The sequence below is a fragment of the Homo sapiens genome, chromosome 12 (assembly GCF_000001405.40).
Source record: "Homo sapiens chromosome 12, GRCh38.p14 Primary Assembly".
In the NCBI taxonomy this organism is placed as follows: Eukaryota; Metazoa; Chordata; class Mammalia; order Primates; family Hominidae; genus Homo; species Homo sapiens.
Window position 1 is genome coordinate 108,439,730 of NC_000012.12, and position 14,013 is coordinate 108,453,742.

At 44.0% G+C, this 14,013-nt stretch overlaps 2 annotated features.

Moving 5' to 3' along the window:
* Positions 1,668-2,424: an enhancer, noted in NCBI's record as "OCT4-NANOG-H3K27ac hESC enhancer chr12:108835174-108835930 (GRCh37/hg19 assembly coordinates)". NCBI's record gives its function as "activates a minimal SCP1, AML or CMV promoter by ChIP-STARR-seq in primed H9 embryonic stem cells {active_cell/tissue: H9 hESC(primed)}" and the evidence as "EXISTENCE:reporter gene assay evidence [ECO:0000049][PMID:30033119]".
* Positions 2,425-3,182: an enhancer, noted in NCBI's record as "OCT4-NANOG-H3K27ac hESC enhancer chr12:108835931-108836688 (GRCh37/hg19 assembly coordinates)". NCBI's record gives its function as "activates a minimal SCP1, AML or CMV promoter by ChIP-STARR-seq in naive and primed H9 embryonic stem cells {active_cell/tissue: H9 hESC(naive and primed)}" and the evidence as "EXISTENCE:reporter gene assay evidence [ECO:0000049][PMID:30033119]".

A 14,013-nucleotide genomic window follows, 5' to 3' on the forward strand; every position in this document is an offset into this window, starting at 1 on the left:
GTTGGAGGTGTTGGAACCAGAGCAACTCCATTTTGAATAAGGGCTGGGTAAAATAAGGCTGAGACCTACTGGGCGGCATTCCCAGATAGTTAAGGCATTCTTAGTCACAGGATGAGATAGGAGGTTGGCACAAGATACCAATCATAAAGATCTTGCTAATAAAACAGGTTGCCATAAAGAAGCCAGCTATAATCCCACCAAAACCAAGATGGTGATGAGAGTGACTTCTGGCCGTCCTCACTGCTACACTCCCACCAGAACCATGTCAGTTTACAAATGCCATGGCAACCTCAGAAAGTTACCCTATAGCATCTAAAAAGGGGAGGCATGAATAACCCACCCCTTGTTTAGCATATAACCAAGAAATAACCATAAAAATGGACAACCAGTAGCCCTCAGGGCTGCTCTGCCTAGGGAGTAGCCATTCCTTTATTTTTGTCTTAATAAACTTGCTTTCACTTCACTCTATGGACTTGCCCTGACTTCTTCCTTGTGCGAGATCCAAGAACCCGCTCTTGCGGTCTGGATCAGGACCCCTTTCCGGTAACAAGAAGACTGACAAAACAGACTCTTTGTGGCAATAAGATACCAAATTCCAACCTGAATATGGTATAACATCACATGACAGACAGCAAACCTTGAAGAAAATCAAAATATTTTACCCCAAAATACATTTATTTGACATATTGTTTTTAGACAGATTCTCGCCCTGTCGCCCAGGCTGGAGTACAGTGGCGCGATCTCAACTCACTGCAACCTCTGCCTCCCAGGTTCAAGCGATTCTTGTGCCTCAGCCTCCCAAGTAGCTGGGATTATAGGTGCACACCACCATGCCCAGCTAATTTTTGTATTTTAAGTAGAGACACGGTTTCACCATGTTGGCCAGGCTGGTCTCGAACTCCTGACATCAAGTGATCCGCCCACCTCGGCCTCCCAAAGTGCTGGGATTACAGGTGTGACCCACCGCACCCAGCCCATTTCTTTGACATATTTTGAAATGGCCCTGCAAAGCCATATCTTGTGGGGGAAATTTGCATCTGTAGAGAATCTACAGATTCCTTTTTCCATCCTTTCCTGGATCTACCAGAGATTAACTAAGGGTCTGACACCTTTTAAAGTCCAAAAAGAGATATTTACCACCTATTCTCTCTGAAGGCTACTATCTTGATGCTTCATCTGCATAACAAGAACCTTGGCTTCCACAACCCCCCATATCTTAACTTAAGCATCCCTTTCTAGTGGCATCAAATCTTCAGACAAGGCTTAACTCTTTCAACCAATTGCCAATCAGAAAATCTCAGAATCTGCTGTGGGTGGTGGCTCACGCCTGTTCCCAACACTTTGGGAGGCTGAGGCGGGTGGATCCCTGAGGTCAGAAGTTCAAGACCAGCCTGGCCAACATGGTGAAACCCTGTCTTTACTAAAAAAAATACAAAAATTAGCCAGGCGTGGTGGCAGATGCCTGTAATCCCAGCTACTCAGGAGGCTGAAGCAGGAGAATTGCTTGAACCCGGGAGGCGGAGGTTGCAGTGAGTCGAGATTGTGCCATTGCACTCCAGCCTGGGTGACAAGAGTGAAATTCCACCTCAAAAAAAAAAAAGAAAGAAAAAAGAAAATCTCAGAATCTATCTATGACCCGTAAGCCCCCACTTCATCCCATCTTTTCAGGCCAAACCACTGTATACCTTCCATGTATTGATTTCTGTCTTTGCCTGTATCTCCTGCCTCCCTAAAATGTATAAAACCAAACTGCAACCCAACCTCCTTGGGCACACTTTCTCAGGACCTCTTGAGACTGTTTCCTGGGCTGTGATCACTCATATTGGCTCAGAATAAACCTCTTCACATATTTCACAGAGTTTGGTTTTTCCAGTAACTATCTCACAGGTGGTTTATGTGAAATCAAGTAATATACGTCCAGGCACATCTTTAGGCTATACAGGGCTAGCCCAACATTACCTTGAGGTGGGAGGCAGTATTTGCAATTCTTAAGAGGGAGCAAGACAGCAGGAGTTGGAGTCCTAGTCAGCCACCTACATGCTGTGCGGTCTTAATCAAAGCAATTCAACTCTCTGAACCTTGGTTTTCACATTTATAAAGGGGGATAACACTAGAACCAACTTCACAGGGTTGTAGTGGGGACTATAAAAGGTCATACATTTCAGGTCTTCAGCGCTGTCCCTAGCACATGTGCGTTTTGTATTTTAATTATTTATTCCACCATTTCCCTACTCACATACACCCTTAACCCCTAATCCTGATTTGCACATCTTTCTTTGGCTTTAATTGCAAATCACCATCAATTTAAGATGTCCCTGGGGTCCCAAGAAGCCCTTCCTTGCCCTCAACACCCTTACCCCATTCTCTCTACCAAACCCACTGGCAGCCAGTCCTCCAGGGAAATCTCAAACGTGAAAGGCACAGAACACCACCACATCCTGAAAGTGATCAAAGCCATCTTCCTAATTTCCTTAAATGCAGTGTTGAAAGGAAAGTAGTGAGTGGCTTAAAGCCAGGGATTCGGTTATGCTAATTACACCCTTGAAGAGCCCAGCCCTGAGGCCTCATAGCTTGAAAGGAATTCTGGCAGCTGGGTTCACTTGGAAAAGAAAGGAAATGTGGAATCTAACAGTGGCAGGAAGTGGGACGGTGGGTGGATTCAAGAAAAAGGAAGTTGTTTGAAAGTTGAAAAAATAAAGGAAATTCATTCACATTAAAACAACAAAAGGGTATCTTTTCACCAATCAGATTAGCAAAAACAAGACACTGGATATTGCCCAGTCTTGACAAGGCAGAGAGTAACAGGAGCTTAAACTCACCAAAATGACAAGGCACAGCTTTTTCCAAGGGCAATGGCAGATTCCATCAAACTTCAAAACTTGCATAAACTTCTACCCTCTCAACTCTATTTCTAGGACCCATCTTTCCAACAGACATACACGTGCACAAATACATATGGAGAAGGGTGTGCTTGAAACAAACACAAAAAAGATGGAAACAATTAAATGCCTATTAACAAGGGAATGGATAATATTCTGTTGAAATATTAAATATCTCTTTAAAAATGAAGATTTCCTTGTGTGCACGAGACCCATTTACAACGTTAAGTATTATTAAAAAGGAAATGGTCTTGGGGAAAAAAAATCAGAATCGTAAATCCTGAATGTGAACTTTAGATTTTTAATACATTTTGTTAGGTATGAGTTCTAAATTTCTTTTCAAAGAATCAATATGTCAGTATATTCAATTCTTTGCCTTCTACTGTTAAACTTAGCTTCCTCATAAAGCAACCTTTTCCGATTACCTGCTCCACGCTGACTCATTCTGATTACCTGCTACCTGATCCGCCCTAACTCATTCTCCACCCTGCATAACCATTTTTCACGCCAAACCACTCACCCCGTCACTCTCTTTAAATTAGCCAGTCAGAATTAGTTTAGCCTGTGCGGTCTAACCCTAGCCAATTGGGGAATGACACAGCAGCAGGGGCCACGTGAGTCAGGGTTAAGAACCATATCTCCTCCCTTGTCCAAGTGTGCACTCACCATTGCTCCATCTGTAAGGGCGCAATAGAATTAACTTGCCCTGCTGAGAATTAAAAAGAAAATTTTATATTCGAGTGCTATTCTTTTGCAGCACCGAAACTTTAATTATAACAATTTCAAGTGGCCCAGGCTTCCAAATGTGTTTCTAATGTAGTTGTTTCCTATACCTCAGCTATCCAGAGAGCAAAGACTATGGGAAATACTGATGTCACTCAATACTCACCAAAGATGAAAATGAGTTCATTTCCTTAACCACCTAGTTGAAATGGTCTTTAAACTAGGCCCTATTTACTTGCCAGGAATCTATGTTACAGCAGCACCCAGAAGCAAAAGGAACACATATTAGCCATAATTCCCTCATACATTATCAACCATGGTGATGTTACAGGAAAGAGGTCCTGATCCAGACCCCAAGAGAGGGTTCTAGGATCTCGCATAACAAGGAATTCCAGGTAAGTCCATAGATTAAAGTGAAAGCAAGTTTATTAGGAAAGTAAAGGAACAAAAGAATGGCTAACCCATAAACACAGCAGCCCCGAGGGCTGCTGGTTGCCAGTTTTTATGGTTATTTCTTGATGATATGCTAAACAAGGGATGGATTATTCATGCCTCCCCTTTTTAGACCATGTAGGGTAACTTCCTGAGGTTGCCATGGCATTTGTAAACTGTCGTGGTGGTGGTGGGAGTGTAGCAGTGAGGACAACCAGAGGTCATTCTCGTTGCCATCTTGGTTTCGGTGGGCTTTGGCCGGCTTCTTTACTGCAAGCTGTTTTATCAGCAAGATCTGACCTGTATCTTGAGCTGACCGCCTGTCTCATCCTGTGACTGAGAATGCCTAGCCATCTGGGAATGCAGCCCAATAGGTTTCAGCCTCATTTTACCCAGGTCCTATTTAAGATGGAGTTGTTCTAGCTGACACGTCTCTGACAGTGAGAAGATCTCTGCCAGAACTGGAACTAAAGAAGTGTCTGGGCTGGGCGCGGTGGCTCACGCCTGTAATCCCAGCACTTTGGGAGGCCGAGATGGGTGGATCACGAGGTCAGGAGATTGAGACCATCCTGGCTAACACGGTGAAACCCCATCTTTACTAAAAATACAAAAAAAATTAGCCGGGCGTGGTGGCGGGCACCTGTAGTCCCAGCTACTCAGAAGGCTGAGGCAGGAGAATGGCGAGAACACAGGAGGCAGAGCTTGCAGTGAGCCAAGATCACGCCACCGCACTCCAGCCTGGGCGACAGAGCGAGACTCCGTCTCAAAAAAAAAAAAAAAAAAAAGAAGAGTGTCTGGAATTGATTTACTGTCACGCACGTCCATGTGGAGACAGTCCACCAAACAGGCTTTGTGTGAGCAACAAGGCTATTTCACCTGGGTGCAGGCGAGCTGAGTCCAAAAAAGGAGTCAGCAAAGGATAGTGGGATTATCATTAGTTCTTATAGGTTTGGGGTAGACGTACAAAGTACATTCTCAAGGGCGGGGAGAATATTACAAAGCACCTTCTCAAGGGCGGGGGAGAATACATGTATCACTTAGGGTGGAGTGGGAACAAATCACAATGGTGGAATGTCATCAGTTAAGGCTATTTTCACTTCTTTTGTGCATCTTCAGTTGCTCCAGGCCATCTGGATGTATACATGCAGGTCACAGGGGATATGATGGCTTAGCTTGGGCTCAGAGGTCTGACATTACCACATATGCAGCCCATAGCCTGGTGTTCACCAAAGGGGCCAGTCAAAAATTTCCAGCATACCTGAAGCTATTGAAAACCACATATGTGCACAGTATATGCAAGATAAGTATTTATAGTAAATGTATATACCTTCTGTTCTGAATATACTGTATTTCAATGACGGTCTATTAAGTATTTAGAAATGACACTGGATACATAAAATGGAAAATATCCTGAAGAAACAATGGTTATCACAAGGTCTCACACTTTCTTATCCAGAACAGCTTGTACTTTTTTAGGAATGAAATTTTAAAGACATTGTTCTGTGAGTTCAAGAAATGGTCTTTTCCATACCAGGGTTATGAGCTATTCTGCTTATAAACTACTCTGGGTGTGTACACTTCTCTTAGATCTTTAGAAACATCTCACAGTTCAATGAAAGATAGTTTATACCCAAAATAAACACCCTTGTTATGTTAAAAATAAAAAAAGAAAGGAAATGCAAAACTACATACAGGCAGATGTATATGTGTGCAAATGCATAAAAAAAAACCTTCAAGAATACACTCCAACCTGTTAAAAAGTGAGCACCTCTGGAGAGAGAGGAAGTAGAACTTGAACTTCGTAGGCCAAGCACAGTGGCTCACGCCTGTAATCCCGCCACTTTGGGAGGCCGAGGCAGGCAAATCACCTGAGGCCAGGAGTTCAAGATCAGCCTGATCAACATGGAGAAACACCATCTCTACTAAAAAAAAAAAAAAAAAAAAAAAAAAAAATTACAAAAAATTAGCTGGGCGTGGTGGTGCATGCCTGTAATCCCAGTTACTTGGGAGGCTGAAGCAGGAGAATCACTTGAACCTGGGAGGCAGAGGTTGCAGTGAGCCAAGATCACACCATTGCACTCCAACCTGGGCAACAAGAGTGAAATTCCGTCTCAAAACAACAACAAAGACAACAACAACAGAACTTGAACTTCGTATTCTATGCAAAAAAGGAAAAAACCTAAGAGAAAAAAAAAAGAATACATAAGGAATATGGTTTCTCAATTTAAAAACATCCCCCTTCCAACACCATCTTCCATCCCTAACATTCTTTTTTTTTTTTTTTTTTTTTTTTGAGGTGGAGTCTCACTCTGTCGCCCAGGCTGGAGTGCAATAGCACAAACTTGGCTCCGTGTAACCTCTGCCTCCCAGATTCAAGTGATTCTCCTGCCTCAGCCTCCCAAGTAACTGGGATTACAGGCATGTGCCACCACGCCCCGCTAATTTTTTGTATTTTTAGTAGAGATGGGGTTTCTCTATGTTGACCAGGCTGGTCTTGAACTCCTGATCTCAAGTGATCCGCCTGCCTCAGCCTCCCAAAGTGCTGGGATTATAGGTGTGAGCCACCACACCCGGCCCATCCCTGTCATTCTTAATAAGAAGATAGATTTAGGACCTAATTTTAACTATTCAGAAAGCTTTTAGATGTATGCCTTGCTTAGGTTTCTCTGGCAACTCCCCAAGCCTGCATCAGCTTAGCATCTAATCCATTGAGATCTCCCTATGGGGCTGAGGTCCCTGTCACAGGGTGCCCTAAATACAGAGAAGGCCTAGGTGAAATTTACACATGACACAGTTATGGTCTTGCGTGATCTTTCACTTTTGTCTTTTTGTAAACCTTGATTTATTTTGCTTCCCTTGGCACATTATCTCCCTTTCCAGATATTTTTGCAATGGATATTGTATTCTTCAAGACTTTCTTGATTGCGAATGGGAGAAACTAAATTAGCCAAAGGTGGAATTCATTATAAGTATTCAATAAATGTTTGCTGTTGCTGCTGTCCGGCTGTTGTTATTGAAGGCAGGATTTGCCTGGGTTTTGGGAACAGCTGGATCCAGGAATTTGTACATTCTCAAGAAATTTCTTAATCTCTATCTGCTGCTTCTCTCTGCTCCTGTTTCAATGAAGTCGCTTTCACTTGTGAGACTCAAGTCAAACCAAGTTTAGCAAAAAAAAAAGTAGGGAGGAAATACTGGCTCAGATAACTGAAAACCCCGGAGGCTAGCTTCAGAAACTACTTCATATTGGTGCTAAAACTATGTAAATTACATAATCACCCAGGAAGCGAGGGCGTGCAGCCAGATCTATCGAACCAAATGAACACAGAGTGGGAAAAGAGTCATCCCTGCAAAGGTAAATCTGGGTTTTGTCACCCAAAAAAAGGTAGAAATAACACACACACCCCAGTCTTCTCTCTCTCTATTCTCTTCTCTCTTTCTCTCTCCCACTCTCCCTCTCTCATTTTGCCCTCTCTTGCTTGGAAACTGGCTTCTTCTGGCATTCTGATCTTTATGATAGGAAATAATGTCTGCCAAGAGATCCCAGATCCCAAATTAGCCTGACTCTCTCCATTTCAAGCCCAAAAGACTCAGTGAAGGGTCTGGTATCAGTTATCTACTGCTGCACAATGAATTACCCAGAAATGGTAAGGTTTACAACAACACCATTTGTTATCTCACTTCATGTCTTGCAGGTCAGGAATCCAGGGGCAGCTTAGCTGGGTGGTTATGGTTCAGTGTCTCCCATGCCAGAAATCATCTTATGAAAAAAAAAAATAGAATTATGCGACCCCAAACTCACTATGCCAAAGGGAAAGTTAAGCTTGGGAATTGAGCCACCAATACTGTCTTCCTTTTGTTCCCAAACAGACAGCTGGAATTTCACAACCCAAACCATGAGCTCATTTCCTCTACTCCCTCTTTTCATGTTTATCTTATGTAAAATGTAGATTTACTGAGAGGGAGATAATACATAATTGACTTTTTCCTCTACTCCCTCTTTTCACATGTATAATGTTGATTGATTGATTGACTGATTTTTTTGAAACAGAGTCTTGTTCTGTTGCCCAGGCTGTAGTGCAATGACACAATCTTGGCCCACTGCAACCTCCACCTCCAAGGTTCAAGCGATTCTCCTGCCTCAGCATCCTGAGTAGCTGGGATTACAGCTACACACCAGATAAGTTTTGTATTTTTAGTAAAGACAGGGTTTTGCCATGTTGGCCAGGCTGGTCTGGAACTCCCAGCCTCAAGTGATCCACCTGCCTCAGCCTCCCAAAGTGCTGGGATTACAGGTATGAGCCACTGTGCCCCGCCTAAAATTTGGATTTATTGAGACTAATCAGGGCTTCACAAGAATGTAACCATCTACCTCACTGCATATCTCCCTCCCTTCCTCTCCTGCCTCCCACTCCTTGCTCTTTCTCCTTTAAAAACCAAAGTGCACACAAAGCCCCCTTTGGAGAAAAGCAGAGATCACAGATGCTCCTCCGATTTCTGTTTGTCCAGGGTGCATCCTCAACCTTGGCTAAATAAACCTCTAATGGCCTCAGTCACTTTTTGGTTAACAATCGGAATGCTGTTAACTGGGGCTGGAGAATCCATTTCCAGAAGAAGTCACTCACATGGCTGGAAAGCTCCTGCTGGCGATGGCAGATCCTCTCCGTGTGGGCCTCTCCACGGGAGGCTGGAGCCTCTGCACAACATGGCAGTTGGCTTCACCTGCAGGGAGTGATCTGAGAGACAGAACATAGGCTGAAACAGATTTGGACTGAAAATAATAAACAAATCAATATTTAAATATTTTTTTAAAAGACAGAAAACATCTAGCAGAAACTATCCTTTTATGATCAGCCTCAGACATCACATACCATCATTCTATTAATTTAAAGCAAGTCCCTAAGTTCAGCCCATGTTTTATGAAAGGGAGAGCTTCACCTTTTGAAGGAAGGAGTATCAAAGAACTTGTGAATATGTTACAGGACCCCACCACTTACCCAAAGTCAGTGGTTTCCTCACTATAGTCCCTTCTGTGGACGCCAGAAATATGTTACAGGAAAGCAGTCCCAGCACAGACCCCAAGAGACAATTCTTGGATCTCGCGTAAGAAAGAATTCAGGGTGAGTCTGCAGCGCAAAGTAAAAGCAAGTTTATTAAGAAAGTAAAGTGGTGAAAGGACAGCTACTCCATAGACAGAGTAGGACATTCCTGAAAGTGAGAGGAGGAACACATCCACCCTAGGTACAATGTTTGTATATATGGGGAGATGTGCTCCAAGGGTTTGTGATAGAGGATTAATTTTCTTAATGACTATATTTTGCAAGAATCGATATTATTATCTTTAAAGCAAAATTAGGAATGCCTGTGTTCTCCAGATATCAGGATATCTGGACACTCCCAAGTCTGGGTCTGTTAGTAAACATTATTAATTTGTTCCCTTAACCGTAAACATCTAGAGGCTCAGAATGCCAAACTTTCTGAGGACGCAGCCCAGCAGGTCCCAGTCTCATTTTCCAGCCCTCACTCAAGATGGAGTCGCTGTGATTCAAACGCCTCTGACAGATATATTTTTAAAACAACACAGGACTAATTAGTCTTTCTTGGGTCAAGTGTTTTCCTTTAAAACAATCAACTGTGACCAGAGGCAGGGTTATACTATAACAATGGCTGCTCCCTCTACAATCTTGCAGATTTGGGTGGAAAAAAAGATTTCTAGAAAGGGGGATGCACAAACAGAGAAAAAGAACTCTTTTCCTCCAGCTCCAGAAAGAAAAATCCCAGAGAAGGATTCTGATGGGCTCAGCTCGCATCATATGCCTCTTCCAAGAGCCGTCAATCACTGTGGCCAGGGGCAGGAAGTAATGCTGAAATATGAGAATGCAGGAGGGGTTCCAGGTGGTCACTCATTACCATCTCCACTGTGTGACTTCAAACCATGCCACTTAATCTTTTTATGTCCTAGTCTCAGCATCTGCTAAATAGAGATTAGAAAGCCTTGTACATAGAGTTGTTATGACTATTAAATTAGATGATATCTGTGAAGCATAATGTCTAGCTACAAAAAAAAAAAGCCTATTAAGATTCTTAAGTACTTAAAGTTCATCTCAAAATGGCATTTATTTTTATTTTACTTTATTTTGTGTGTGTGTGAAGGAGTCTCGCACTGTCACCCAGACTGGAGTGCAGTGGCGCGATCTCGGCTCACTGCAACCTCCATCTCCCAGATTCAACCAATTCTCCTGCCTCAGCCTCCCTAGTAGCTGGGATTACAGGCACCCGCCACCATGCCAGCTAATTTTGTGTGTGTGTATTTTTAGTAGAGATGGGGTTTCACCATGTTGGCCAGGCAGGTCTCGAACTCCTGACCTTGTGATCCGCCCACCTCGGCCTCTCAAAGTGCTGGAATTACAGGCGAGAGCCACCATGCCTGGCCTATTTTTATTTTTTTATTTTTTGAGAAGCATCTCTCTGTCGCCCAGGCTGGAGTACAGTGGCACAATCACAGCTCACTGCAACCTCTGCCTCCCAGGTTCAAGCCATTCTCCTGCCTCAGCCTCCTGAGTAGCTGGGACTACAGGTGCACATCACCACACTCGGCTAATTTTTGTAATTATTTTTATTATTATTATTATTTTTGAGACAGAGTCTCGCTCTGTCACCCAGGCTGGAGTGCAGTGGCACGATTTCGGCTCACTGCAACCTCCACCTCTGGGGTTCCAGTGATTCTCCTGCCTCAGCCTCCTGAGTAGCTGGGATTACAGGCACGTGCCATGATGCCTGACTAATTTTTGTATTTTTAGTAGAGACGGGGTTTCACCATGTTGGCCAGGCTGGTCACGAACTCCTGACCTCAAGTGATTCGCCTACCTCAGCCTCCCAAAGTGCTGGGATTACAGGTGTGAGCCACCGTGCCTGGCCACAAATTGGCATTTTTTTAAAAGCAATTTATAATTGGAAAGTCTCAGGGCTCACTCTTCACTTCTAATTCTCATAATCCTTACTTTCTCGTTGTGGCTGACTTCATCCACAAACAGGCTTTCCTTGGGAGAACAAAATAGCTGCAGTAGCTCCAGGTCTCATGTTTGAAACCTATGGAATCTATGGACATGAATTGCCTTTTTCCCTACTCACAAGGAAGAGTTTTGACATTCAGTCAGATTGGTTGACTTCAGTCACCTGTCCACTTCTGAATCAATCACTCTGCCCAGAGGAGGGGGTCTGGGGGCAGAGAAATGGAATGCTGATTGGCTTAAACCAATCACAATCCACCCCTGATGACTGAGGATGGAGTCAATCTCCCAGGAGCACAAGGGATACAAGAGAGGGATGATATGAAAATCAGGTCGTATAAGGAAAGAGGGTAAGAGAGGGTGGGTGCTGTAGGCCAGAGTCAGCTGGCCTGCCAAACCCAGCCTGCTATTGTAAATAAAGTTTTATTGGAACTTAGCCACAGTCATTCATCTATACATTTGTCTATAGCTGCTTTTGTGGTACAATGACAGGATTAAATAGTTGCAACAGAGACCATATGGCTGCAAAGTCAAAAATCTTTACTACTGGGGCCTTTACAGAAAAAAGGTTACAGATCCCTGCATGTAGGCAAGCATACAACTTCCACTGCAGTCGTATTCAAAACACATTTTCTTCCCTCCTCCCAGTCCTTCTCTGTTGAGATACATCACGACAAATCAGCAGAGCAGGCATCTGTCGGCAGAAGAATCCTCCCAGGGTCCATCAACTCCTACCCCATTGCCAATGAGTAAACACACAGCCTGTGGAATCACATCAGGCAGAGGACTGGTTTGAGAAGAGATTTTGTGGCTGCTGGAGCGTACGGGCTCTGTCTCCATTACCCATCACGGAACTTCACCATTCAAAGATCAATGACGTGCAGGCTAGATGATGCTGGCAAGCCAGGAGCTGTGGATCCCGATTTTTCCTCCATGATAAATGGGGAGCAATCTCCAGGAGCTCTAGCCTGGAAGACAGCCCTAGTCAAATTACTTTATCGCCCAGCTGAGAGATGGCCAGCTTGGAGGAGATGTACTCAAGCAGCATGCTAACTAGACTCAACATCAGCACATAGACCCCTCCTCAGAACAGCACTCTCCTCCCTCCTCTTTCCCACCAAAGAGCAGAAGAATTCCACCCTGACATTGGCTTATGGAAGCTGCTCTCCCTGACACTTCCATAGTAAATAAGATCAGGGGTCTATGTAGTTCCCACTCACTTCACATACACATATCTGAGATCACTGCTTTCAAGCTTGCCAAGTGGCAGAGAACTTGTACATCATGGAGTCCTTGCAGACACTCAAAATGCTGGTATATCATGCTTAAAAGAAACTTCTAGCGCAAAGACTAAGTGCACAGGAATTAGAGATAGGCAGAACAGGATTTAGATCCCAGCTCTGCAACTTACCATGGGCAAGTGTCTTAGTTGAAGATCCTTCAGAAACTTACTTTAAGACAAGGGTTCAAGTGCACATAGTTGATTTAGAAAGTGACCTCAGGAAGCACCACAGGGGAGTGGGGAAGAGGAGGAACAAATAAAGGGTGTGTATCAAGGAAGCTGTCACTGGAGATGAATTCTGCTGGAGAACCAATGTTAAACACTGCCTCAATGGTAACTCATCCAAGCAGCAAGGGAACTGGGGTATTAATACTCCAACTCCCATATGTTATTATTTAAGGGATGCTGCCAGAGGCATTAACCCCCTTGCACTTCTGGCCTATTATGTATGGGGGATCTGGTGGCCAAAGAGAGCCCTTGGGCAAAGTGCTGCCAATGCTAGGAGATGGAAGTTCTGCCCGTGGCCTCGGAAATGGTAAAACCCAAGGGTGTAGGAGTGGGGCTTGAAGGGGCATCAACAACATATGCTACAGCAAGCAAGCTAATCTCTCTAAGACTCAAGCTTCCTCATCTACAAAATGTAAATTACTTGTAGCAAATAATATCTAATATCTTGGGGTTGCTTTGAAGGGTAAAGTCAATACTGCAAGTTAACATACTCAGCACAGTGTGTGGCACTAGTAAACATCTAATAAATAATAGTTATGCTTATAAAACATCACCTGCAAAAGGAAATGTGTAATAAATGCCATGCTCATTTTCCAATCAACTCTGAGCCCCCAACCTATGGAGTTGGCAAGAAATCAATCTCCCTGTTTTGAGGTGGTCCTTCGACCTCCCTAAGGTCACATTAGAATCTGAGAGGTTTAACTTGGGGCCAGGAAACAAAGGATAAGGTCTGGACTTCAGTTCCCCATGACCTTACTGGTGAGTTTATAATCCAACTCTGCAGAATCCATTAAGTTTGGCCACAGGAATCTTTGTGGAGGCTGGGGGGCCCAGTACCCAGGGTCCAGCTTCTTTCAGCATACCCCAGCCATTCCACACCTCCCCATCCTGACCACCAGTGGGGGTCCAGCCACCTCCCCAGGATCCCATGAGAGAGTGGATTGAGGCATCTGCCGATCTCCTACCCCACTGGTGTTGAGGGATCTCCCTCCTCACTCATTGTTTGTGCCTCTTCCCCACTCCTCAAAGTCACTCATCTCCCTATCTTTTGAGCCATAAGCCAAGGGCTGCAAGCTGAAGGGCAAACAGAATGGTTCAAGTTCCCTGAGATTACAGAGTGCCTTCTTGGAACTGGGCTCTGCAGCTCCTGGCTGCCAGTATTATCTAGGATGTACATCACTGATCTTTGAATGGTAACATTCTGTGATGGGTAATGGAGTCAGAGCCTATGCACTCCTGCAGCAGCCCCGAAAGCTCTCATCTACCAGTCCTCTGTCTGATGTGAATCCACAGGCTTCATATTTAGGTCATTGGCTATGGAGTAGGTTTTGATGGACCCTGGGAGAATTCTTCTGCCTGCAGATAACTGCTCTTCTAGTATTTTGCAATGTTCTAACAAGACAGAAGAGGAAAGAGTAAAAGAAACATTTATTGAGTACCACTTGTAGCAGACATTGCATGT